At 37.4% G+C, this 25,138-nt stretch overlaps 2 annotated features.

Annotated features, from left to right (window-relative positions):
- Positions 23,535-24,042: an enhancer, noted in NCBI's record as "H3K27ac-H3K4me1 hESC enhancer chr18:68510681-68511188 (GRCh37/hg19 assembly coordinates)". NCBI's record gives its function as "activates a minimal SCP1, AML or CMV promoter by ChIP-STARR-seq in primed H9 embryonic stem cells {active_cell/tissue: H9 hESC(primed)}" and the evidence as "EXISTENCE:reporter gene assay evidence [ECO:0000049][PMID:30033119]".
- Positions 24,043-24,550: an enhancer, noted in NCBI's record as "H3K27ac-H3K4me1 hESC enhancer chr18:68511189-68511696 (GRCh37/hg19 assembly coordinates)". NCBI's record gives its function as "activates a minimal SCP1, AML or CMV promoter by ChIP-STARR-seq in primed H9 embryonic stem cells {active_cell/tissue: H9 hESC(primed)}" and the evidence as "EXISTENCE:reporter gene assay evidence [ECO:0000049][PMID:30033119]".

Raw genomic sequence — 25,138 nt, forward strand, 5'->3', positions numbered from 1 at the left:
TCCCAAGTGCAAATATAATTCAGCATTCAGATAGCTATTAATGCAATTCACTATACTACCAGATTAAAGTAGAAGAATCATATTATCATTTCAAACATCCAAGAAAAGAATTTGGTAAACTCTGTTACTGTCAAGGGCTGAGAGGTATTTGAGAGACAGCTGAGCTGCCAGGTGGTCAATTAAAGCACAGCTAGATAAGAGGAATAAGTTCTGGTGTTCTATAGCACTGTAGGATGACTATAGTTAACCATCATATATACTTTCAGACAGCTAGAAGGATGTTGAATATTCCGGACACAAAGAAAAAATGTTTGAGATGATGATATGCTAATTACCCTGATTGAATCACTATACATTGTATGCATCGAAGCATCACTATGTACTCCATAAATCTGTGTGCCAATTAAAATAAATTGACCAGGTTCAAAACAAAACAAAACAAAACAAAACAACAAAACAAAGAGCCCAACTGAAAGTAATGGTCAAGCCCTTACTCACTCACTGCAATCATATAAGCAAGAGGCCTGAAACAAGATATTCTTGTGTTTCATTTTCACCTGTGTGACTGCACCACTGTGTGAGTCAGGTGTGCCCGTGCAGATGGAGAGAGCCCCAGACAAAGGCCCCTGGCATTTTATGGACCCTGAGGCTACACAAAAGGGAGGGAGAAGTACTAGGAGAGAAAAACTCCTGAGTACTGGGTTCTGGTGGAGAAAAGTATCTTCAAGTCTCCTGGATAAGGTAGTCTCAGCAGAGGCCAGTTCTGATAAGGAGGTCTTGGGATGGGGGTGGCGGTGGGGAGGGTGGGGTTGGGGTGGGGCTGATCCTTGACTGCAACTCCCTCTGGAAGCAGAAATGCACTGGTTGTGCATGGAGTCTCCTGTGTGGAGGGCAGTGTCCCTTGTGAGATCTGCCAAGTACAGCCTTATTGCTCACGGTGGGGTCTGAAGGATCACACTTAAGATATGGGCCTAGAGATGGATTCCTCAATTATCTGTTGTAAAGTTTTTTTTTTAAAGGACATCTGAGAATCACAAATAACAACAAAATTATTTTTAAACTAAGAAAAAGAAAATAATTTCTTTACCTTGAAAAAATGTATGTGTCAAAATGTTTCAGTATAATATAGTCTCTGGGCATTGTTCTGGGCTGGAAGATTAACATGCTGGTGTAGCTTCCATCCAGGGAGTGCTCAGGGTTACAAGGCCTGGCTGCCTGTCCTCCACTGGGGCAACTTTGAAGGGCCCTTGCAGCCCCAGAGCTCCTCGTGGGATCAGCTGAGCCCCTGTGGCGGCTGTATTCCATTTCTTTTCTCCTTGCCCAATTCTGCTGTTCTAATTTCCTATGGGTGTTGCTTCTAAAGACACACCCTGTTCACATTTCCTAAAGTTGCCAAAACAAGTCTGCACAAACCAGGTAGCTAAAAAGAACAGAAATTCTCTCACAGTTTTGGAGGTGAGATGCCCAAAATTGAGGTGTCTTCAGGGCCATGAATTAAAGTGCCTGACGGCTCCAGGGGAGAGTCTATTCTGGGCCTTTCTCTTAGCTTCTGATGTTGCAGCAGTCATGGGTGTTCCTTGGTTTGTGGATGCGTCATTTCAATCTCTGCCTTGGTTGTCATCTGGTGTTCTCCCCATATATCTGCACGTCAACTTCTGTGCATACCTCTTGTTGTCTTTTCTCTTCTTATAAGGACACTAGTCTTATTAAATTAGGGTCCACACTAATGACCTCATCTTAACTTGATTACATCTGCAAAGACCCTATTTCCAAATAAGATCATATTCCCAAGTGCAGGATTACAGATATCTTTTTGGGGGCCATAATTTAACCTATAACAATCCTTTATGAACCTCCTATACACAGATCAGGCATATGAATTGCTGCCTTTTCTCTGTGCTACAGAAACAGCTTAAGGGTTAGACTGTTCCTTCTTTCCTGATAATTTTCTGTATATTCCTAAAGAGAAAATAATGTTATAATAAAACATATACCTAAGCACATGTCTACATTCTTTCTGAATAAACTTTAAAATTCCTTCTCATTTAGACTATGAACAGAGGTTATTTGGAGAAAGATTACATTGATACATACAAAATTATTTTCAGTAACTCAAAATATGCAATTTAAAAAAATTTTCTTGCTCATTTTACTCTGAGCTTCCAATCTTCTGAAATGTTTAGGAAATTAATTGTGGGTACATTTTTTACTTCACTACTGCTACAGTTGTGAGTTTGGAGAGTTCCAGAAAGAGTTACACAAATAAGCTAAGATATTACTAACTGCCAGCTGTAATTTTGAGCCAGACTGAGTAACATAAATACATTATTATCTTCTGTGATTTTCTTGCCAGATTGCTCAATGCCCCCACAAAAAGTAGAATTACAGTATGACACGATAACTTACGATAGCTTTTTAGTGGTATTTGGATAGCTACTGTCACCATGTAAACAGCTTGATAGCTTGACTGCCTGAGGTGCTTTCATGTTCTGGATAGATGTCAGTTTTCAGGCATTTTCCTGAGATTGAAGTAAGGAACAGTAGAGAAGGAGGACCATACAAATTAAAGGGACGGAAAAGGAAATCTACAAAATTATTTCCTTGAATATTCTCACTGCCATTGGACAATTTAAACAGTCATATAGATTAGCCATGTTCCTTCCTCCCTGCCCCACAATGTAGATGTGTGACTCTGGGAGAGGGGCTTAAGGGTTCCGACATCCAGATGCAAAAAGTGAGTTTAAAATCCCATTTATAAATCCCCCAAAGCCTGCACAAAAATGGCATGAAGTCTAAAGACAGGCAAGCATTTATCATCTGAAGTTATTGACACCCTCTTGCAAGGAGAGGTTGGTTGAATTTTTTTCTCTTCATGAGACATTTTTTGCTGAGACTGTTAAACTGTTTACGGTAAATTGTACTCCCTCTGTGCTCAACACCTGATTTCATATATTGCCCTACACGAGATGTCATCTCCCAGGACACCCTGGAAGAGTTGCTGGGCTCAGCTAAAACAAAACCCGGTTGCTTTGACACAAAACATCTGGTAGAGTGTTTACTTGTCCTATGGCTCTCTTAAATGAATGTACAACATCAGCTGTTCCAGTAAAATTAGTTTCCTAACAATAAATACCTAAATAATTTGATAACCAATTCAGCATTTTCTTAGTATTAAATAAAATATCATTGGTGTAGGCAATTAATACACTTTTAATCTAACATCAACCAGAGTGTTCTTTTAAATAATTTGTTTTTATGCATATCATTTTGGAAATGACAACCTGAAAGTCAATTACACTATTTATATCTATTTATTTAAAAAATACTACTTGAGAGAAAAAAGATTAGTAGTGTTTGTATTTACAACTTTAATAATGAGTTTATATTAATCAACCAGTCTGTAGGTAAATAGGTAATCTAATCATCATTATCTCCTTTCTTTGGGAGCAATTTTTATTTTCTTATTGATTTCGCTGTACTTATTTCTGCATTGGATCAATAGATGTTTAAAACACAGTCTCAAAAACAGAGATGTTATCACTTTTTCTTCAACAGTTTTATCTGCTCTGGTCTAACTTGAAATAAAGTTTAAAGTTTCTACACCAAATTTATGTATCTACATATACTACTAAGTCAAAAACATATGAGACCAGAAACAGAATTTTTCTTAGCTATTCATTTTTCTTAAATCCTGTGCTCCATCAGTTTAATATTTGTTGACAGATTTTTAGCTATCTTGCTCTGTTATTGTTCTAATACACTCACTCACTCAACCCTTCCTCACTTGTCTCAACTGCCACACCCTGCAGATGTCGTTCTAAATTATGCTCCAACCTAAAGCAGACCCTTAGCACTGTTCCATGATGTGTCATTGTCTCTCTGTCCAAATCCTTCTTTATTCTCCATAACCTTCTCTTATTTATACAACAAGCCTTTTAAAAATACCCGGTCCAGGTTAGATGTGACTCTCAGGGGGCTAATAGTCTAGAAGAAGAGACAGGCATCAAACATGCATGGCAGATAAATTGTTACACGGCAGTTGTAATAAGTCATGTTGAGTAAAAGAATGAGGTGCAAGTCTTCTTGCTGAAAGTGGCATTTGAGGGAACATTGAAATGTTGAAAAGAGTTAATTAGACAAAGTCGAGGAGGTCACTTCAGAAATGAAGAACCACTTATGCCAAGCTCTTGAGGCAGAAATGCAATAACATTTAAGAGACCTGTGCTGAAAGCAGGGGCCAGGTTTTCAAGACTATTATTTAGGATGAGCAAAGGGTAGTAATGTACTTCATGCTAAGAGAAATAGAGAGCTCTTAAGGGTATTAAGCAGAGAAGGAACAAGATGAAATTTATTCTGATTGTTAGTGGAGAAATTGGAGCAGGAGTAGGAACACAGGAGCTGCGACAGTGAGAGATGGTGGTGGCTTGGATCAAGGCAATGGCCTTGACAAAACAAGAAATGGAAGAATTGGAGAAATATTGAGTAAGTCGAGTTGAAAAGCATTTTGAGAAAGTTACTGGATATGAAGGCGTAGGCTCTGGAGTGACTGGCAGGTCTGTGCAAGGGCAACCTGACGTCTTCTTGATGCCATTTACAGAGCGAGCAAATGCAGCATGAAGGGCAGCCTGGTGTTTGTGTCTTTCTATAGATTAGAAAAAATAATGGAGCCTAATGAGCATACTGGAAATAGAGAATCCTGGTTCAAATTTGTCACTCATCTGAGGATATGACATCACCACACAGCCGACTTTAGAAAAGTAATCTTAAAGACTTGGGAGGCCACTCAGAACTGCATCAGTGTTACATCAGCGATCTATTACATCAGTGATCATAACAACTGGACACTAGTCTCATTAGCATGTATGTACTTAAAAATCCCAGAGCATTTCCCACAGTGTTCTTCCTACCCTTTTAAAGGTTCCCTCACTCCCTCCAACAACACCGGCTGGGGAAGCTGAAGGCAACTTCCTATGGAGATGGAGAAAAGCAGCTTTCAGGGAAACCTCCAACACGTGATCCTAGAGTCCTTCTCCATTACTGTAGAAGTTTCTATTCAATGTAACCTATTTCATAGATATAGGGACAACTGCGATATTTTCTGCAGACAGTTCCTGTGAGCCATTCAAGAAAGGAAGGCAACTAAGTAGTTGTATGCACCAGTCTAAACTTGGAAGATTTATCCAGTTTGGAGATATGAGTTTATAAGATACAAACTTAGAGATATAAGATGGGAATGATTTTGTTTCTTAAAGAAAGACTTGCACAGCAATTAATATGTCCCAGGCACAATGTGCTTTTACAAATAGAAATTAAACTTCAAAACAACTTCAAACACTAGTGCTATTATTATCCCCATTTTACAGGTAGGAGATACCAAGGAACAGTGGAACAGAGATACCAAGTGACTTTCTTAAAGGCACATAGCTAGCAAGCGGTAGAGCTGGAATTTGAATGCAGGCTGAATATAAAGTTCATGCCTTAATTACTGTGCTTTGCTTTCTAAGGAAAGGGTCAAGACAAAACAAAGAAGGGGGTCTGGGCCACATTGGAAGCAAAGAGCAGCCCTCACCAGATAACCAAACCAGCTGGCATTTTGATCTTGGACTTCCCAGCTTCTAGAACTGTGAGAAAATAAATTTCTGTTCTTTGCAAATTACCCAGTCTGTGGTATTCTGTTATAGCATCAGAAACAGACCAAGACAGCTCTATAGTTAAAAAAAAAAAAGGAAGAGTTCACATATGCACTAATTGGAGACTGTGGCCCTGGGAAAACTGTTGGTGGGCTAAGCCGAAGTGGGTCATCTTATATGATTGGCCAAGGGGAGAATATTTGAATTTCTCTGATTGGTTCTAAGTTGGAAATATAGGCAAAAATCAGGGAGGCTGGTAGTTACTGTTCATGTCCTGACTGCTTTAGATGAACTGCTGGAGAGGTTATGGTTTGGTTTCCTCCATGGGTTGCTGCCAGTGTGTCTCAGAGTTCTATTTTTATCTATGATCTGGCCATTATCCATTTGCGTATTCAGGTTCCCATACCTGCTGTCCATCATTTTCTCACATTCTGGAAAAACACATGCCTTCACTTCTGCGATACCACAACCCTCTTGGGCATACTTATGATCCTTTTTTACCTTCTCCTTCATGGGGGAATCCTTTCTCTGCCTATTAATTTAATTTTGCTGTTAGCCAAATGGCTCATCATGGCTTAGAAGCTTCTTCTCTGTACCTTCATCTCAAATTCTTTGTATTAAATTCTGTGTCCCAGCCAGACTAGACTACAGAAAGTTTCAGCTGACTTGAAACATCTTTCCCATCCTCCATCTGAGTAACTATCTCCTCTTTTTTAAAAAAACCTATTTTAGCTGTTTAAAACCTTAGATATCACCTCCTCTACAAAGCTCTCTGCAAACCCTAAAAAAGTCTATAAGCTTTCATAGTCCCCATTCTTAGGACATTGCTTATAAAGATATTTATCTTATTGTATTTGTCATTGTCTGTTCACATATATTTCCCCCAAACTCCAAACACCTCTAGGAAACGGTTACTGGTATGGTGCCCTGTACAGCAGACAGCTAATAAGTATTTATTGCAATAATGATTTCGTCTGGAACAGAATGTCAGAAATTAGAACAAAGCTCCAGAAGTTTTCAGAATCCTTTGTGAGCTCCAGGAGGGTGGGAGTCAGTGTACTTCACAGAAAGCTTTCTTTTCTAAGTGTGTGGAAGCTTGTCATCAATGTGATGGAAAATCTGATGTTTAAACCATTGAAATGGAAAGCAAATGACTTAATACTATTTTTTGAAACATGCAACCAAATAAGAAGGCAGGTATGTGGTGTGCCCTGAGCCCATGTTGAGGACCAAGAATTGCTGACGGGGCCAGCAAGGCACCTGCCCTTCTGGTTTAGGGCACCTGTCCTTCTTGGGTTTTCTAACCGTAGGATCTGCCAAAATTGAAGGCTCACAATAAGCACTCTATTTACTAGGTTTACTTCATCACACTTATTACAGACAAAAAAAGTATGTATCTTTGTGAAGGGCAAGCACTACTTGTCTTCCATCTCAAAAGTTTTTTAGAAATTTTAAAATGTGTTATCTGAAAATAACTAAAAACTTTTGTCCCAGCACAGAGAATATCCTATGATTTGTTATTTTCAGTGCCTTCTAGATGATTTGAATTGCTTTAGTCCTGTGGTATGAGTCACTCTTGTCAAAAAATTACTCTTCAATTTATTTTGTTTATAGATACAAACAAAAAAGGTAAGAGATCATGTAGTGAGAGCACAATGAACAAGTTGCGTTTCTTCATCCAGGAGCTTGGTTTTAGGAAGAGTTTTACTTCTAAGAGAAGATAGACCTCTGAGAAGAAAAGATCCGCAATATGAATTTCTCTTGGGTGGGTTAATCTGGGCAATGTGGTTGAACTCCACAGTTTCACCCTGTTGTAATCAGCCCGTGAGGTGATGCAGGGAATTAGGAATGTTATTACTTTGCAATGTGCGAGCTCTGCTTCCCTTCTGGCGGTGCTCTGGTTGGTTGTGGACTTTTCTGCTTCACCTTTTTAAGCCGAGACTGTTCAGATATTCTAGAATGACACACACCAGACAGACAACCTGGAGTCAACTTCCTGCACAGAACCAAAGCCACTCCCTGTCAGCTCTCCCTCTGCATCGCTTTACCGTTTCTGGTCCTGGGAATTTCCTGAGTTAGTTCTCCTTGTTTTTCTAGTATTTGAGTCTTTTCAATTCTCATGTGAAATAGATATGGTCTTACCTTGACTTCCAGGCCCTATGGGTTTCTGAGTCCATGACTGTGGTCTAAACTGAAATCTGAGGGCTCACTTTGTCTGTTACTGACTCAGTGACTTGTACTGGTTCAAAAGCCCCGAAGTGCTGTTTTCCATTAGGGTCCTGATAAACATCTCTGCCTTGACCTCGCTTCCCTGGGGTGTCCCCATTTCCATGCCTGCCTCTGCTTTACAGGCCCGGTATTGCCTGCCTCCTTGGCTGGTCTCTGAAATATGCAAATGCCTTGTCAGGACACACTGTCAAAAGTGATTTTCCTGGATAAGAAATTTAAAAGCACAGGATGAGGACTGAGTTAACAACATATTTTTTAAAATCACTTACTTATAATTTTCATCTCAATCATCTCTTTTCTAATTTTTCTATTATAACGTATTTATACATATATTTTATTAATATTTATTTTGTTCTTTTAAACATTGATAAATGTTTGTGAAACAACTGCCTTGAAGGGGTTCTAATGAGTGAGTTTCTGTAATTTATAGATGATTGGCTGCCTGTCAGAGAGCAAAACATGAAGGCAGTTATTTTCTAATAACGTTCCTAAATTATCTGGTATACTTAACGGATAGCAGAATAATGTATTTCTGAGACCTTTTGAAAGCATTCCTCTCTTTTTAAATAAATTGTAAGGTTAAACACAAGAAATCTTGAATTAAAAAATTACACACATACTTATTTTCATTTTCTGTTTTGTGTATTGTGATAATTAGCTTGGGACAACAAGGGCATAAACTTAAATATAATTATCTTAATGACATTGCTAAGAAAGAATATTTAAATTGTTGAATAAAAGATGACTAATTTTATATATGAAGATATTTTTAAGTAAGGGAAAAATAATAAATAGGAAATGTCTTGTACCTAAGCAACATAATTACTTTTTTTTCCCTAAATGATGGGTTTGCCTCTTGACATTTTAAAATCATCAGATATTTCCTTTTTCTGTATTGGATAATCGACACTGTAACACAAGCATAGCTACTTTAACATGAGAATTGAATGACATTATTTACAAATGACTACATATTTAGAATGGTATTCGCTTAATAACTTGTGTGCAGCAAACAGAAAGGTATAGGTAAATTACAAGTGACAAACATCCTTTGTGATAATGAAGAAGACTGATGACTTTACTTCAAAAAAAGCATGTGCTCATGTATGCAATTGATGGATAATAAACACTTTCACACTAATTTTCCTCAGATTAAAATCAATACAGAAAATAATACTGATTATCTGCTGTAAGTTTTACCAAAAAATTGGCACAACTTTCTACTGAAATAAAATGTTAGTTTGTACTTAAAAGTTCAGATATGAAAATCTCTACTTTCCCACTTTGGAATGAAGCATTTTGTGAGTAGCCAAAAGCTAGAACTTCAGAGCAACACCTATTAATTACATCCCTGAACCAGCTGAGTCCATGGCCCAACACCACTGGCAACCAATATGGCACATACTGAGATGCTAAACAGTCTATTGTCAGTGTAAAGCACCGAGAGGAAAGAAAGACACCATGGCAGGGCAGAGCGCTGACCTTCTGGGGTGTGTGCATGTGTGTGTCATGTTTTGAATTGACCACTGTATTTATTTACTTACTTTTAGTAGACTTTATTTTTCAGAACAGTTTTAGATTTATAGAAAAGTTGAGAAGATAGTACAGAGAGTTCTCGTATACTCCCCACACAGTTTCCCCTATTGTTAATATGTTAGAATTTTTATTTTTTGTCATTAATGAACCAATTTTGTTACATTACTATTACCTAAAATCTATACTTTATTCAGATTTTCTGTTTTACCTAGCGTACTATACAGAATATTCCTTTTTAGGATACCATGCAGAATAGTCTATTTCGTTTTCATGTCTCCTTAGACCCTTCTTGGCTGTGACAGTTTCAAAGACTTTCCTAGCTTTTAATGGCATTGACAGTTTTGAGAAGTACTGGTCTAGTATTCTGTAGGATGCTTCTCTATTAAAATCTGTCTTTTTGGGTGTCATGATTAGACTGGGATTATGGGTTCGGGGCAGGAAGAGCCCAGAGATAAAGTATCATTTTCACTACGTCATCTCAAGGGTACGTAATATCAACAGGGTTTATCACTGGATGTTCTTGCCCACCTGGCTGGGTAGTGTCCATCAGGATTTTTCACTGTAAAGTTAGTTACTCTCTTCCTCCCTCCTTCATTCTCTACTCTTTAGAAAGCAGTCACAATGCACAGACCACGCAGAGGGGGTGGGGATTTGTGATTCTCCACTGAGGGTGCAGTATCTACACACATTATTTAAATTATTCTGCAGGAGAAATTTGTTCTTTCTCTTCATTTATTTATGTAATAATTTTTATCACTATGCCTGATAGATATTTATTTTATATTTTGTATTATGATCCAATACTACCTTATCCATTTTCTAACTCAAATTTTTCCCACTGGCCATTGGAAGCTCTTTCGTTTGGCTCCTGTCTTTGACATAACAACCATAACTGCAGGAATTTTTTTTAGCACTTTCCTACTTTTCAGAGATACAAGATGTTCCATGCTTATCTTGTATATTTCCTGCCCCAATCCTAGAATTAGCCATTTCTCCACTGATCCCTGGGTCTTTTTCTTTGAGAATCATTCAGAAACAGTTTTTAGTTTTTTTCACATAACATATTTTCAAATCTCTAACGAACTTTTGAGATGGAAGACAGGTATTGCTTTCCTTGGTTGATACCACTATATTACTATATATAATACATTTATCTGTCTGTCTGTCTGCTGTAATATGTATTGTGAAATAAATTTGGTAAACGGAGTGCTTATTGTGAGCCGTTAATTTTGGCAGGTCCTTAAGGTTAGAAAACCAGAGGGAGCATAAGCCAGAAGAGCAGGTGCCTTGGTGGCCCTCTCAGCTCTCTTTGGTTTTCAACCTGGCCTCAGGGCACACCACATACCTGCCTTCTCATTGGGTTCCACATTTCAAAAATAGTTTAAAGTCATTTGCTTTATATTCCAAATATTTAAATGTCAAGTTTCCATCTCATTGACGATGAGTGTCCATAAGCTTAGAAAGAAAGCTTTCTATGAAGTGTACCTTTTCCCACTGTCTCCAGCTGACAAAGGATTCTACAAACCTCTGGAACTTTGCTTTACTTTATTGTATTCTGTTCTGGATCAAATTATTATCGCAATAAATACTTATTGGCTGTCTGCTGTACAGAGCACTATACTGGTGACTCTTCCCAAAGGTGCTTAGAGTTTGAGGAAGAAAATATAGGTTAACAGATAATGACAAATACAACGACATAAATATTTGAAAGGCAGTGTCCTAAGAGTGGGGACTATGACAGTTCATGGGCATTTTGCAGGTTCACAGAAAGCTTTCTGGAGGAGATGATATCTAAACTGAGATTTTCAAATAAAGAGGAGGTAGCGACTTAGAGGATGAGAAAGATGTTTCAAGTCAGTTGCAACTTTGTGTAGCTCAGTCTCATGGAACAGAATTCAATACAAAGAATTTGAGATGAAGCTGAAGAGAAGAAGGTTCCAAGCCATGATGAGCTATTTGGCTCACAGCAAAATCAAATTAATAGGCAGAGAAAGGATTTTCCCATGGAGGAGAAGGTAAAAAGGAATCAAAAGTACACCCAGGAGGGTTGTGGCATCCTAGAAGTGAAGGAAAGGGTTTTTCCATAATATGAGAAAATGATGGACAGCAGGTATGAGAAACTGAATACACAAATGGACAATGGCCAGATCATAGATAAAAATAGAACTCTGGGCCACGCCATCAGCAACCACTGGAAGAAGCCAAACCATAATCTCTGCAGCAGTTGGGTTCAAAACAGCCAAGACATGAACATTAGCTGCCAGCTTCCTTGATTTTTGCCTGTATTTCCAACTTAGAACCATTCAGAGAAATCCAGTTATTCTCCCTTCATAGTTATTTGGGGTCTTTTGTGGTTCCATATAAATTCTAGGATTTTTTATTTTTCAATCAGTTAAGAAAGTCATTGGTATTTTGATATGGATTCCACTGAGTTTCTAGGATGCTTTGGGTAGTATAGCTAGTCAGTTTAACAATATTAATTCTTCCAATCCATTACATGGGATGGCTTTCCATGTTTTTTGTGTTCTCTTCAATTTCTTTCATCAGCGTTTTGTAATTTTCACTGTAGAGATTTTTTTTATATTTTTGATTAATTTTATTAGTTTTTTTGTCGGTATTATAAATTGGATTGCTTTCTTATTTTTTCAGTTGTATTGATATATAGAAGCACTACTAATTTTCATGTGTTAATTTTGTGTCTCGCCACTTTACTCAATTTATTTATCAGTTCTAAGAGTTTTTTTGGTGTAGTCTAGGTTTGTCTACATAGAAGATCATGTCATCTGCAAACAGATCATTTGAATTCCTTCTTTCCAGTTTGGATGTCTTTTGTTTTTGTCTCTTGCCTGATAGCTCTGTCTAGGACTTCCAGTACTATGTTGAATAAGGGTGGTGAAAGTGGTCATCCTTGTGTTTTTCCAGTTCTTAAAGAAAAACCTTATAGCTTTCCTGTGTTTAGCATGATGTTAGCTTTGGGTTTATCATGGATGACCTGTATTTTGTTGATATAGTTTCCTTTCATATCTAATTTGTTGAGAGGTGTTGTTTTTTTTTTTTCATCACAAAGAGATGTTGAGTTGTACTAAATGCTTTCTCTGCATCTATTGAGATGATCATTTAGTTTGTGTTCTTCACTCTGTTGACGTGATGGATCACATTTGTTGAATTGCGTGTGCTGGACCACCCTTATATCCCTAAGGATGAATCCCTTGATCATGGTGTATAATCTTTTTGTTGTGCTGTTGGATTTTGTTTGCTAATATTTTTTGACGATTTTCACATGTATGTTCTTCACAGATATTGGCGTTTTGTGTGTTTTTGGTTTTGTCCTTATCTGGTTTTGGTAATGCTGCCCTTATAGAATGAGTTAGGGAGAATTCCCTCCTCTTCATTATTCTGGAATAGTTTAGGAAGAAATAATGTTAGTTCTTTATAAGTTTGGGGGAATGCAGGAGTAAGGCCATCTGGTCCTCAGGGATTTTTTTGTTCTTGTTTTTAGGTGACTTTTCCTTACTGACTCAATCTTGTTAGGTGTTATTGTTCTGTTCAAGTTTTCTATTTCTTCCTGGTTCAATCTCAGGAGGTTGTATGTGTCCTGAAACTTACCCATTTACTCTAGGTTTTCAAATTTACCAGCGAATAATTGTTCATCGCAGTCTCTAGTGATCCTTTATATTTCTATGGTATCAGTTTTAATGTCTAATTTTGTGTTTTGGATTTTATTTGTTTGGCTCTTCTCTCTTTTTTTCTTAGTCTAGTTAATGGTTTTTTGCTTTTGTTTATCTTTTCAAACAACCAACTTTTTGTTTTGTTGATTTTCTTTTTTAAAATAAAGACAGGATCTCATTCTGTCACCCAGGCTGGAATGCAGTGGCACACTCTCAGCTCACTGCAGCCTCAACCTCTTGGGCTCAAGCGATTCTCCCACCTCAGTCTCCCAAGTAGCTGAGACCAGAGGAGTGCACCACCATGCCCAGCTAATTTTCTTTAAATTTTTTAAATTAAAAAAATTTTTTTTCTTTTTGAGATGGAGTCTTGCTCTGTCCCCCTGGCTGGAGTGCAGTGGTATGATCTCGGCTCACTGCAACCTCTGCCTCCCGGGTTCAAGCGATTCTTGTGCCTCAACCTCCTGAGTAGCTGGGATGAGACGCGACTGCTACTATGCCCGGCTAATTTTTGTATTTTTAGTAGAAATTGGGTTTCTCCATGTTGGCCAGGCTGGTCTCAAACTCCTGACCTCAAGTGATCTGCCCTCCTCGGCCTCCCAAATTGTTGGGCTTACAGGCATGAGCCACTGGGCCTGGCCTTGTTATCTGTTGCATTGTTTTTTCAGCCTCTATTTGTTTAGTTTTCTTCTGATCTTTCTTATTTCTTTTCTTCTACTGATTTTTGGTTTGGCTCATTCTTGTTTTTCTAGTTCCCTGAGGTGCATCATTAGATTATTTATTTAAAATCTCTCTACTTATCTGATGTAGGCATTTATTGCTCTAAACTTTCCTCTTAGTACAGCATTTGCTGTATCTTATACGTTTTGGTATGTTGTATTTCTACTTTTATTTGTTTTGAGAATTTTTTTATTTTCTTCTTAGTTTCTTCATTGACCCAATGGTCACTCAAGAGATGTTGTTTAATTTCCATGTATTTGTACAGTTTCCAAAGTTTCTAGTATTGATTTCTAATTTTATTTTATTGTGGTCTGAGAAGATACTTAATATGATTTCAATTTTTAAATTTGTTGTGACTTTTTTCTGGCCTAACATATGGTCTATCCTGGAGAACATTCCACATGCTGATGACAAGACTATATTCTGTAGCTGTTCAATGAAATTGCTTGTATCTTAATTATTTTATTTCTTTTGCTTGTTTCGAATTTATTTTGTTCTTCTCTTTGCAGGATCTTAACACTGTAGCTTAGATTATTGAGTTGAGATGAATGTATGCATTTATTGTTACAAATTTTCCTCTCATAGCCTTAGCTGTGTTGCACAAATTTTGGCATGCTGCATTTTCATTTTCATTCTGTGTTTTTAAAATTTTCCTTAAGACTTTCTTTTTGATCCAAAGGTTATTTACAAGCGTATCATTTAGTTTGCAATAACGTGAAGATTTTTCTTGTCATCGTTCTCTTATTGAGTTCTACTTTTATTCTATTTTGGTAAAGAAATGCTGTGTCTGATTTTAGTTCTTAAAAATTTGTTGAGGCTTGTTTTATGACTCAAAATATGGCATATCTTGTTACGTATTTTGTGGAAGTATAAAGAAAGCATATATATTTTGTTGTGGTTGAGTGAATTGTTTTATGGATGTTGATTTGATCTTTTTGGTTGACAATATTGTTGAGTTCTTTATCCTTCTAGATTTTCTCTTCAATTTTGTGAAAGATGAGTCTTGAAGCCTTCACTATAACTGTGGTGTTTGTCTGTTATTTCTCATTTCAGTTGATCAGTTTTTGCTTCACATATTTTGTAGGACTGTTGTTTACAGTGTATAAATGCATACGCATTTATGACTTTTATGTTTTCTTGATGTATGGCCCTTTACCACTGTATAATGATTCTTTCTGCCTCTAGTGATCTTTCTTTCTAAAGTCTACTTTATCTGATACTAATATAGCCATTCCTGCTTTTCTTTGCTTAATGTTTGTGTTAAATATCCTTTTCCATCCCTTAAATTTTAACTTGCCTTTATCATGATATTTAAATGCAATTCTTTTTTTTTTTTTTTTTTTTTTGAGACGGAATCTTGCTCTGTCGCCCAGGCTGGAGTGCAGTGGCCCAATCTTGGCTCACTGCAAGCTCCGCCTCCCGAGTTCATGCCATTCTCCTGCCTCGGCCTCCCGAGTAGCTGGGACCACAGGTGCCCGCCACCATGCCCGGCTAATTTTTTGTATTTTTAGTAGAGACAGGGTTTCACTGTGTTAGCCAGGATGGTCTCTATCTCCTGACCTTGTGATCCGCCCGCCTCGGCCTCCTAAAGTGCTGGGATTACAGGCGTGAACCACCGCACCCGGCCATGCAATTCTTACAGACAGCTTAGAGTTGGGTAATGGTTTTCAGTCCACTATATTAATCTCCATTTTAAGTTGGTGTGTTTAGTATTCTTATATGCAATTTAACTATTAGTGCTTTATAGTTTAACTCTACCATTTTGTTTTGTTTCTCTGCTTTTAATACTTTGTTTTATTTTTTCCTGCTCTCCTATGGCTTAACTGAACAATTTTTAGTATTTCATTTTGATTTGCTTGTGGTGTATTTGAGTGTATCTCTTTGCATAGCATTTTTAGTCATTGTTCTAGATGTTATATATACAGAACTTATCATAGTGTCTGCTGTAATTTTAGTGAGAGTGAAGTATAGAAAAGTAACTTGCCATTAAGTCCTGTTATGTGCTAAACTGTGTCTCCCAACTATTCATATGTTGAGATCCTACCCTCCAGTATCTAAATGTGATTATAATTGGAGATAAGGTCACAAGAGTGGTGATTAAATTTAAATGAAGTCATTTAAGGTAGACCCTAATCCAATATGACCAGTGTCCTTAAAAGAAAGGAAATTAGAACACAGACACTCATAAAATAAAGACAGTGTGAAGACATAGGGAGATGATGGCCATTGGCAAGCCCAGGAGGGAGGTCTCAAAAGAAATCAACTCAGCCAGGTGCGGTGGCTCATGCCTGTGATCCCAGCACTTTAGGAGGCTGAGATGGGTGGATCATGAGGTCAGGAGTTTGAGACCAGCCTGACCAACATGGTGAAACCCCATCTCCACTAAAAATACAAAAATTAGCCGGGAGTGGTGGTGCACGTCTGTAATCCCAGCTACTCAGGAGGTTGAGGCACAAGAATCACTTGAACCCAGGAAGCAAAGGTTGCAGTGAGCTGAGATTGCACCACTGCATTCCAGCCTGGGAGACAGAGCGACACTGTCTCAAAAAAAACAAAAAAAAAAAAGAGAGAGAAAGAAACTAACTCAGCTGGTACCTTGATCACAGCATCCTGGACTCAAAAAATGTGAGAAAATAAAATTCTGTTGTTTAAACCACCCAGTCTGTGGTACTTTGACTTAACTGATAGCATAAGGTACTTAAAATACTCTATTCCTGATTCATTATTTGTGTATTAAGCATAACAGCATGTTTCAGTTGCTGTTTCTTCTCATCAGTGTTGGCAGAGTTGGTGAGGGAATGCAGACTGCCAGGACAAATACAAATGTATTTATAAAACTCACATCTTTTGGATGTAGCCCTTCAGAGGTATTAATCTCATAAAAAGCTAATCAAAGAATAAAGATGAATCTTTGAGTCTCAAAAGGAATACAAAAAAACTCAATATTTTATTTTCTTATTTGAAGCTTTAAGTTTCAGCATAATATAAAAGAACAAAATTACTATCACCTGAGAATCTAAAGCAAAGAAGTTGTTAAAAGTAAGCATAAATATTTGGACTAATTTGATATTTATGTATGTATTTAGAGACAGAATCTCACTCTGTTACCCAGGCTGGAACGTGGTGGTTCAATCAGAGCTCATTGCACCCTTGAACTCCTGGACACAAGCTATCCCCTTGCCTCAGCCTCCCAAGTAGCTGGGACTACAGACATGCCCCACTATACCTAGCTAACTTTTTAGAAATTTTTGTGGGGACAGGGTCTTACTATGTTGCCCAGGCTGGTTTTGAACTTTTGGACTCAAGCAATCATCCCGCCTTGGCCTCCCAAAGTGTGGAGATTACAGACCTAAGCCACTGTGCCTGGCCCATATTTGATTTGAAATTACCTTGAGTATCATTTTTCCTCAAGCAAATTTGTGCATTAATTTTGCGGCCCAATAGAGGTGAAAGAAAACTGAAAACATTGCAAGGTGTATCTGTCATGTGAAATATGTTTGAAAATATAGTTGATTCATAAAGCGAGATAAAAGACAATGTGGAGATAAGTTATATATACTTACCATGTTAGTTTTCCATTGTGGCCACAACAAATTACCCAAAATTTATGCTTAAAACAATACCCATTAATTATACCTTCATTTCTGTGGGTCAGAAGCCTGGGCATGGTGTGGCTGAGCTGGTTCCTCAGCTTCGGGGCTCACAGTACTAAAATCACGGTGTCATCAGGGCTTAGTTCATTGTTCATGGCTTAGAGGAAGAATCTCCTTACCAGATCATTTGGATTGTTGGCTAAGTTCAGTTTCTTACATTCTAGGGCTGAGCTTACCACTTCCTTGCTTTGCTTTGACAGGCTGCCCACCTTCCTCCCCATGCTCCTTTGGTGCCCCCTTTAGCAAGGATGAGCTGAGTTCCTCGGATTCTTTGGATCTTTCTGACATCTCCTTTTCTGCCAGAGAAAGTTCTCTGCTTTTAAGGGTTTATGATATGACATTGGACTTGTTTGGTCATCCATATAACCTTCCTATCTTAAAGTCCGTAATCTTAATTATAGCTGATATATATATATATATCAGCTATAATTAGCTGATATATATATATATTATATATGCTATATAGCTCTATATATATATGCGCAATATATAAGACTATATTTGTCTTATAGTGAAACATCTTCACGGGTTCGTGGGATTAAGATGTGGACATTGTTGGGGAGCTATCCTTCCAGACATGCATTCCAAAGAGAGAGACATGTTCTAGTTCCATATTCTTTTCTTCTTCTTAATGGGAAAAACTGGAAAGGAAACCGCAGTTTGCTATGTTTCTCATAAATTACTCTAATTCTTTATGGAACAGGATAATAATAAAAATTAACCCAAATACAAATGCAATAATTACTATAGATCTAACAATAAGCATACAATGTAAGCATTAAAATGGCCTAAAAATGTGGTGATCAAATAGATCTGGTAAGAAATTTTAAACTCCTGAAGCTTCTTAAATCTTTATTCAATCACCAGAAGATCATGTCATCTTAACAAAGTCTCTAAACTATGCTTCTTGTTGTTTGACTAGCAGAAGATATCTCATATAAGTTTTAAAAGCCGCAGTAAACTTATGTATAGTGTTTTCATTACATAAGACACTCATGGTATACTGTTTAGAAATATCATCTTTGCTGCACACCAGATGTAGCTAACTAGAAACAAACAAACCACAAATGGTCCTGAATAGAGCATGATTTATATTGAATTACATAATTTGTAAAGTGAGTATGCTATTTTATTGTAAAGGTAAATCCTAAATTAAATAAATGAAGTATTTATGATATTCTACATTAAAAAATCAAACTTCAAACACAATCTGTAATAGGTTGTTAAAGTAATAAAATATATCATGTTTTATATATTATCTAATTTGATTATATACATATTTTAAGCATACTCCATTTGAATTTATCATAAAGGACTGAAATATTTGGAAGCTTATTTTGTTCTCTCTCAAACCTATAACATCTCCTAAATTACTTCATCTTAATTAAAGTTTTAGCACACAGAAGTGGATATATTAACCCGAAGCAGAATTTCTTTTATCTTATAGTGACTATAGTGATTAAGAAGGCCTGGCCTGGTGCAGTGACTCACGCCTATAATCCCAGCATTGTGGGAAGCCAAGGTGGGCAGGTGACTTGAGGCCAGGAGTTTGAGACCAGCCTGGCCAACATAACAAAACCTCATCTCCACCAAAAGTACAAAACTATTCAGGCGGGGTGGTTCATGCCTGTAGTTCCAGTTACTTGGGAGGCTGAGACAGGAGAATTGCTTGAACCTGGGAGGCAGAGGTTGCAGTGAGCTGAAATCATGCCACTGTACTCCAGCCTGGGCCACAAAGAGAGGCTCTGTCTCAAAAATAATTAAATTAAATTAAATTAAAATTTTAAAAGGCCTTAACATTTCCATTACCTTGACTAAACTTTAAATAGGTTTCTTTCTGACTACAGGCACCTGATCTTCCTCTTCTTGGGACATTTATTTTAGAAAACTTGAAACTCTAAATTCCTTGCTTTAAGGAAATCCCTTTGAGATGTAATACTTTTTAGAAGCTTGTTAGTCATTTTATGACACCAGAATGTGTTTCTGAAGGGCCTGGGAGCCTTCCCTGAAATGGAATCATCAAGGAAAACATGGCTTCCATCTCCCAGTCTCTGTGGGAAGGTAGGGGCCTAGCTCTAATAAGCACCAAATAGTAAACAGAGATGGCTTGACCACAGTGACCAGCCTGCACCCTAATGTCCTCCAGGACTTTCCCAGAAATTCACGCCAGCACTTGAAATCCTCCCAGCAGTTTCTTTCAGTGGAGTTGAACTCAGTTTCTCTCCCCTATCAAAATAACCTTGAATAAAGTTTCCCCTGCCTGTTTAACTTGCCTGGTGCAATTTTTCTTTGATAATAGAAAAAAAATTAAATTTTATTTCAATGGAAATAGAACTCCAATAATAGTATTGGGAGACAAGAAATATAACATCATAGGGGACATAATACATCCAAAAAAATCATATTAGAATTCAAAGTTATGTGCTGTGGAGAAACAGAGGTTTCAAGTCTTATAAAAATGTTGCAGGAGAGGGGTCCTGATCCAGACCTCCAGAGAGGGTTCTTGAATCTCACGCAAGAAAGAATTCAGGCCAAGTCCACAGAGTAAAGTGAAAGCAAGTTTATTAAAAAAGTAAACAAATAAAGCAATGGCCACTCCATAGACAGAGCAGCCCTGAGGGCTGTTGGTTGCCCATTTTTGTGGTTATTTCTTGATGATATGCTAAACAAGGGATGGACTATTCATGCCTCCCCTTTTAAGACCATATAGGGTAACTTCCTGACATTGCTGTGGCATTTGTAAACTCTCATGGCGCTGATGGGAGTGTAGCAGTGAGGACGACAAGACGTTACTCTTGTGGCCATCTTGGTTTTGGTGGGTTTTGTCCAGCTTCTTTACTGCAACCTGTTTAATCAGCAAGGTCTTTATGACCTGTATCTTGTGCCGACTTTCTACCTAATCCTGTGACTTAGGATACCTTAACCATCTGGAAATGCAGCCCAGTAGGTTTTAGCCTTATTTTACTCAGCTCCTATTCAAGATGGAGTTGCTCTGGTTCACAGGCCTCTGACAAAAACATCTCTCCCCAGTTTCCCAAAGAATAGACAGAGTAAAATAATCAAATATTTTGTTGTTAAACATAACTAGTGCTTTAGCATTTCAAAAATAATGATCCTTGTTAAAAGGCAGCTTTTTAAGGTTCAAGAGAATTTAAACTATTTCTCTTACTAATAGACTTTTTTTTTTTTTTTCCAATTCCTTGGATACTCTTGGGCTATCAGTGTTACTAAGATACAGTTAAAGAAAAAGAAGAAGGAAAAAAAAAAAAAAGCCCGACCCTTGAAAAAGGTTAGCTTAACACTACAGAGATTCTTATTCCTTGTTTCACTATAGAATTAAATTAGATTGAAATTGTTACCTTCTCTTTTTTTTTTCCTGAACATAGAGAAAGAATGTTAAGCTAATCCAGGATTGCTGCTCTTCAGTGTTTTGCAACCTTCCGTTTGCAGCAAGGGCAAAGGTCTAGGCATTGAGATTCTGAAGGGAATCTGCATGACATTGTTAGCAATGGGCAAATGATCTGAAACTCCCCACACAGCCCATACCACTCTGATTAAAGCTTGGCATTTGTTTTCCTGTTCTTTGGAGCAGACAGCATGCTGCCCGGAATTAGAAATATGAAAGACAGAGGAACTTCACACTGTGCAGAGAATGTTTCTTGCTCTCCTATTTTCATAAGGCAGATGAGTCGCCAAACTTTCTTCAAAAATAACTTGGATCACTCAAATGTAAGGATAGATTTCCTCAATATTATCTTTCTATAACATCCCACTCCATGCTCCTGAAATCCTTATGTGGCTATCCCTTCTTAGTTCCATTTAATAAAGGAATATTTCAATTGTCTTAAAGTATTAATGAAGAGATTTTGTTTTCTACAAAGTGTCACTCCTCTGTAACTCTTATGGTTGCTCTATGATTTGAGATGATTTGCTATTGATTAAAGACAACACAAAAAGTATTTTTATAAAACTATGTATGTACAGCACAGTACTACTATAATGATCCAATGAATTCTTCTTGCCTGCTGCTCACATAGAGTCAATTTATCAAGACAGACGATTGCAATGGAGAAAGAGTTTAATGTACACAGAGCTGGATAAATGGGAGACTAGAGTTTTATTATTACTCAAAACAGGCTCCTGAAAATTTGGGGACTGGGATTTTTAAGGAATCATTTGGCAGGTAGGGGGCTAGGGAGTGAAGAGTGCTGATTGGTTGGGTTGGAGATAAAATCATAGGGAGTCAAAGTGAGTTCTTCTTGCTGTCATATGTTCCTGGGTGAGATCCCAGAACTAGTAGATTCAGATTACCAGCCTGGTTAGCACCAGCTGGTGCATCAGAATGGAAGGTCTGAAAAATATCTCAAGCACCAATATTAGGTTTTATAATAGTGATGTTATCCATAGGAGCAAATGAGGAGGTTAGGGATCTTGTGGCCTCTGGCTGCATGACTCTTAAACCATAATTTCTAATCTTGTGGGTAATTTGTTAGTTTTACAAAGACAGTCTTGTCCAAGGCTAATTTGTTACTTTTACAAGGGCTGTCTCGTCCCTTTGTGTCTGGTAAGAGCTACCATCTTTGTTTCAAAACTAAACTGTAAACTAAATTCCTCCTATAGTTAGTTCAGCTTATGCCTAGGAATGAACAAGGGCAGTTTGCAGGTTAAGGCAAGATGGAGTCTGTTAGGTCAGATCTTTTTCACTGTCATAATTTTCTCGTTATAATTTTTGCAAAGGTGGTTTCAGTAAAATTAGCATCTAGGCATCTAGAGTAGGTATATAAACATTGACAGTGCCTAACCCTGCCAGGGTCTTTTTGTCACCTATAATATTAAGAGAATATGATGGAGTCTATTTGCTTGAACTTTCACTGCAAGATGACTGAATTCTGGGTGTTATGTGAAAATTCCTCAAAATTCATCATGCTTAGATTTATAATTGTATTTTTCATATAATTAGTATCATTGACCTTGTAATGTTATTTGGTCATTGATTGATTATTAGAATAAAATAAAGTTGCTTGTATTACAAAAATTGCATCTGCTACTCATAGCTATTGCTTCAGTTTTGTTAGTAATCTCCCCAAGCCAAGCAGCTATGAAGTAGGGGAGCCAGGAGTTGAATGTTGGCATCCCAACTCCAGAGGCCCATGCACCTAACAGTGAGACTTCGTAGCCGTCTTTTAGGTTGTGTTTTGAAATACTTTCCTATTTAAAAAGGCATATTGGAATACAAGTAAATTCAAGAGACAGTCTTGAATGTACTATAATTTACATAAGCATAAGTCACTCACAAGCTATAGCCTCATAATTACAGGTTCCTTACAACACACCCCTGATTCAAAAACCTGTAAGTAGGAACTGATACTCATTTATGGCAATTGTTCCCATGACTGAGCTAATTAAGGTGCTGTTTTCCTAAGGGACCCTTTGGATGCTCTCACAGCACTCTGGCATCCACTCTACTTTTCCTTCCCTGACTTTGATACTAGAGCCTCCTGGCCACACATAATGAGTGCTGTCTTAGTGATTTCTGCAACCTGTTCTGTTATGCATCGATCTGTTTCCTGCTGCCTCCATTATCAAAGCCCTTGACAAAGAAATACTTACCTTCCTTCTGATGATAGCACCATGGTTTTGGCTAAATGGAAGGGTATCCATTAGGATATCCAGCAAACTCTTCTTAGATTTTTTTTTCTCCTGATTTACTCCTCAGATCGGTCCCTTAAATGCCAACACTACAGCTTTGAGTCTCGGTATTAAAATCTGGCTTGGCACATGAATGACTTTGATTCTTACTTGCCTAACACAGGGGAGATAAAATTGTTCTTTCCTGAAATCATTATCATATAGAGTAAAGCCAATCCAACCTATGTGATTTCATATGTAGAGAATCCAAATTGTTGCTGAACTCTACTTTGCCTTTCAAGAAACCATTGATAGAATCTGAGGGTAACAAGTTTATTATTCCCTTCTACATACTGACCCTACATCTTCTTTAAGTTCATCACTCAAGAAAATTTTATAAACTTTATTAGTTGTCCCATCCAGTGTCTTTTAACCTGGAACCTTAAAGAGTACACAGATGGGCTTCAAGTGGCCTGCAAACTTTGTGAAATTACATGCAAAATATTAATCACATATGCATATGCATGTTTTTATGGAGATGAGTTTGATAACGTTTATCATATTCTCTGAATGATTAGTGACTACAAAATTAAGGATTACTACAACACTTATAGAATAAATGAAGGAAATGGGCAGGACTATGAATAACACCTTTTCCACATCAGCCAATAACAGTTCAAGTTAGACTGCATATGCATCCTCTAAGCTTTCAACTGGCTATAACTCTTCTACTGCCAGCGGTGCTATCAACAAAATATTCTCAAACACACTTCCGTCACAAGATAATTAGTTCTTGAATACACTGCAAAAACATATTCTTTATGGCATATCTAGGCTCATAAAGAAGTGACGTAAATGTCCCAAGGGAGAAAAGAAGCAAACAACAAAAAAGTAAACTAAGAGAATGGAAAGTAGTTAGTAAATGCTAAACTCAAGATTGTCTTTGAGACATAGATGAGTTTCAGCACCGAGATTAAAACATGAAGCTTCAGCCCACAGCAAAGTTCTGTTGGTGCTATGGATTGAATTGTGTGTCCCACCCACTCCCCAAATTCATACATTGAAGCACTAACTCTGAGTGTGACTGTATTTGGAGACAGGACCTTTAGGAAGTAATTAAGGTTAAATGAGGTCATAAGGGTGGGACCCTAACCCAATAGGATAAAATCTCTTCTGAGAAGAGCCAAGAGGGTGGGAGGGTACGAGGGGACACCGCTCTCTCTCTCTCTTTGCATCTCTGTTCCTCTCTCTCTTTGCATCTCTATTTCTCTCTCTCTTCCCACACTTCACTCTACCTTGTAAAGACACAGAAAGAAGGTGGCCGTATGTTACAAACTAAGAAGACAGCCTTCACCAAAAACCGGCCCTACCAGACCTTCACCTCACACTCCACAGCCTCCAGAACTGTGAGAAAGTAAATTTTTGCAATTTAAGCTACCCAGTCTAATTGTTTAAGGAAGGCTGAGCAGATGAATACAGTTGGTTTCTCTAGGACACCAATATGTACCCAAAATAACTGGCCAATGCAGTGTCAGGTCAATCAACAATCTGGCACCACACAGAAGCAAGTACATTTTTTTTTTTTCCAGGAGGTAAACTCCAACTTTGTTCCATGGATTTCTAAGAATTAGTTTAATTAAATATGAGTTAACAGTCAAATATCACCAAAAACATAAGAAATCCAGTTACAATAAGTGAGAGTCATTAGGAAAAATAAACAGATTTAGATTCCCAAGGACTGTAGATATTAAAAGTTAGTAAATAAATCATCCACATATGAAATATTTAAAGTAATAAAAGATAGCATAAAACAACAAGCAAGAAACAAAAGATTACCAACAATTAAGAAGAATTGGAAAATAACTGAAAACAACCTTAAGAAATTAGAAAAATATATATAGGAGGAAGTGAAGGATAGATTAGACCAAAAGACAGAGTATTAGTAAAGAAACATTTCTGAAGGAATTAGGACAAATGAAAAGTGTGACATGAAGAAAAGTGTTACTTAAAGGGACATTTTATACGTTTGAATGTTTCTGTAAAAGAAGAAAGGCTGGAAAATCAAGGCTAACCATTT

Source organism: Homo sapiens, chromosome 18 (genome assembly GCF_000001405.40).
Source record: "Homo sapiens chromosome 18, GRCh38.p14 Primary Assembly".
Classification (NCBI taxonomy): domain Eukaryota; kingdom Metazoa; phylum Chordata; class Mammalia; order Primates; family Hominidae; genus Homo; species Homo sapiens.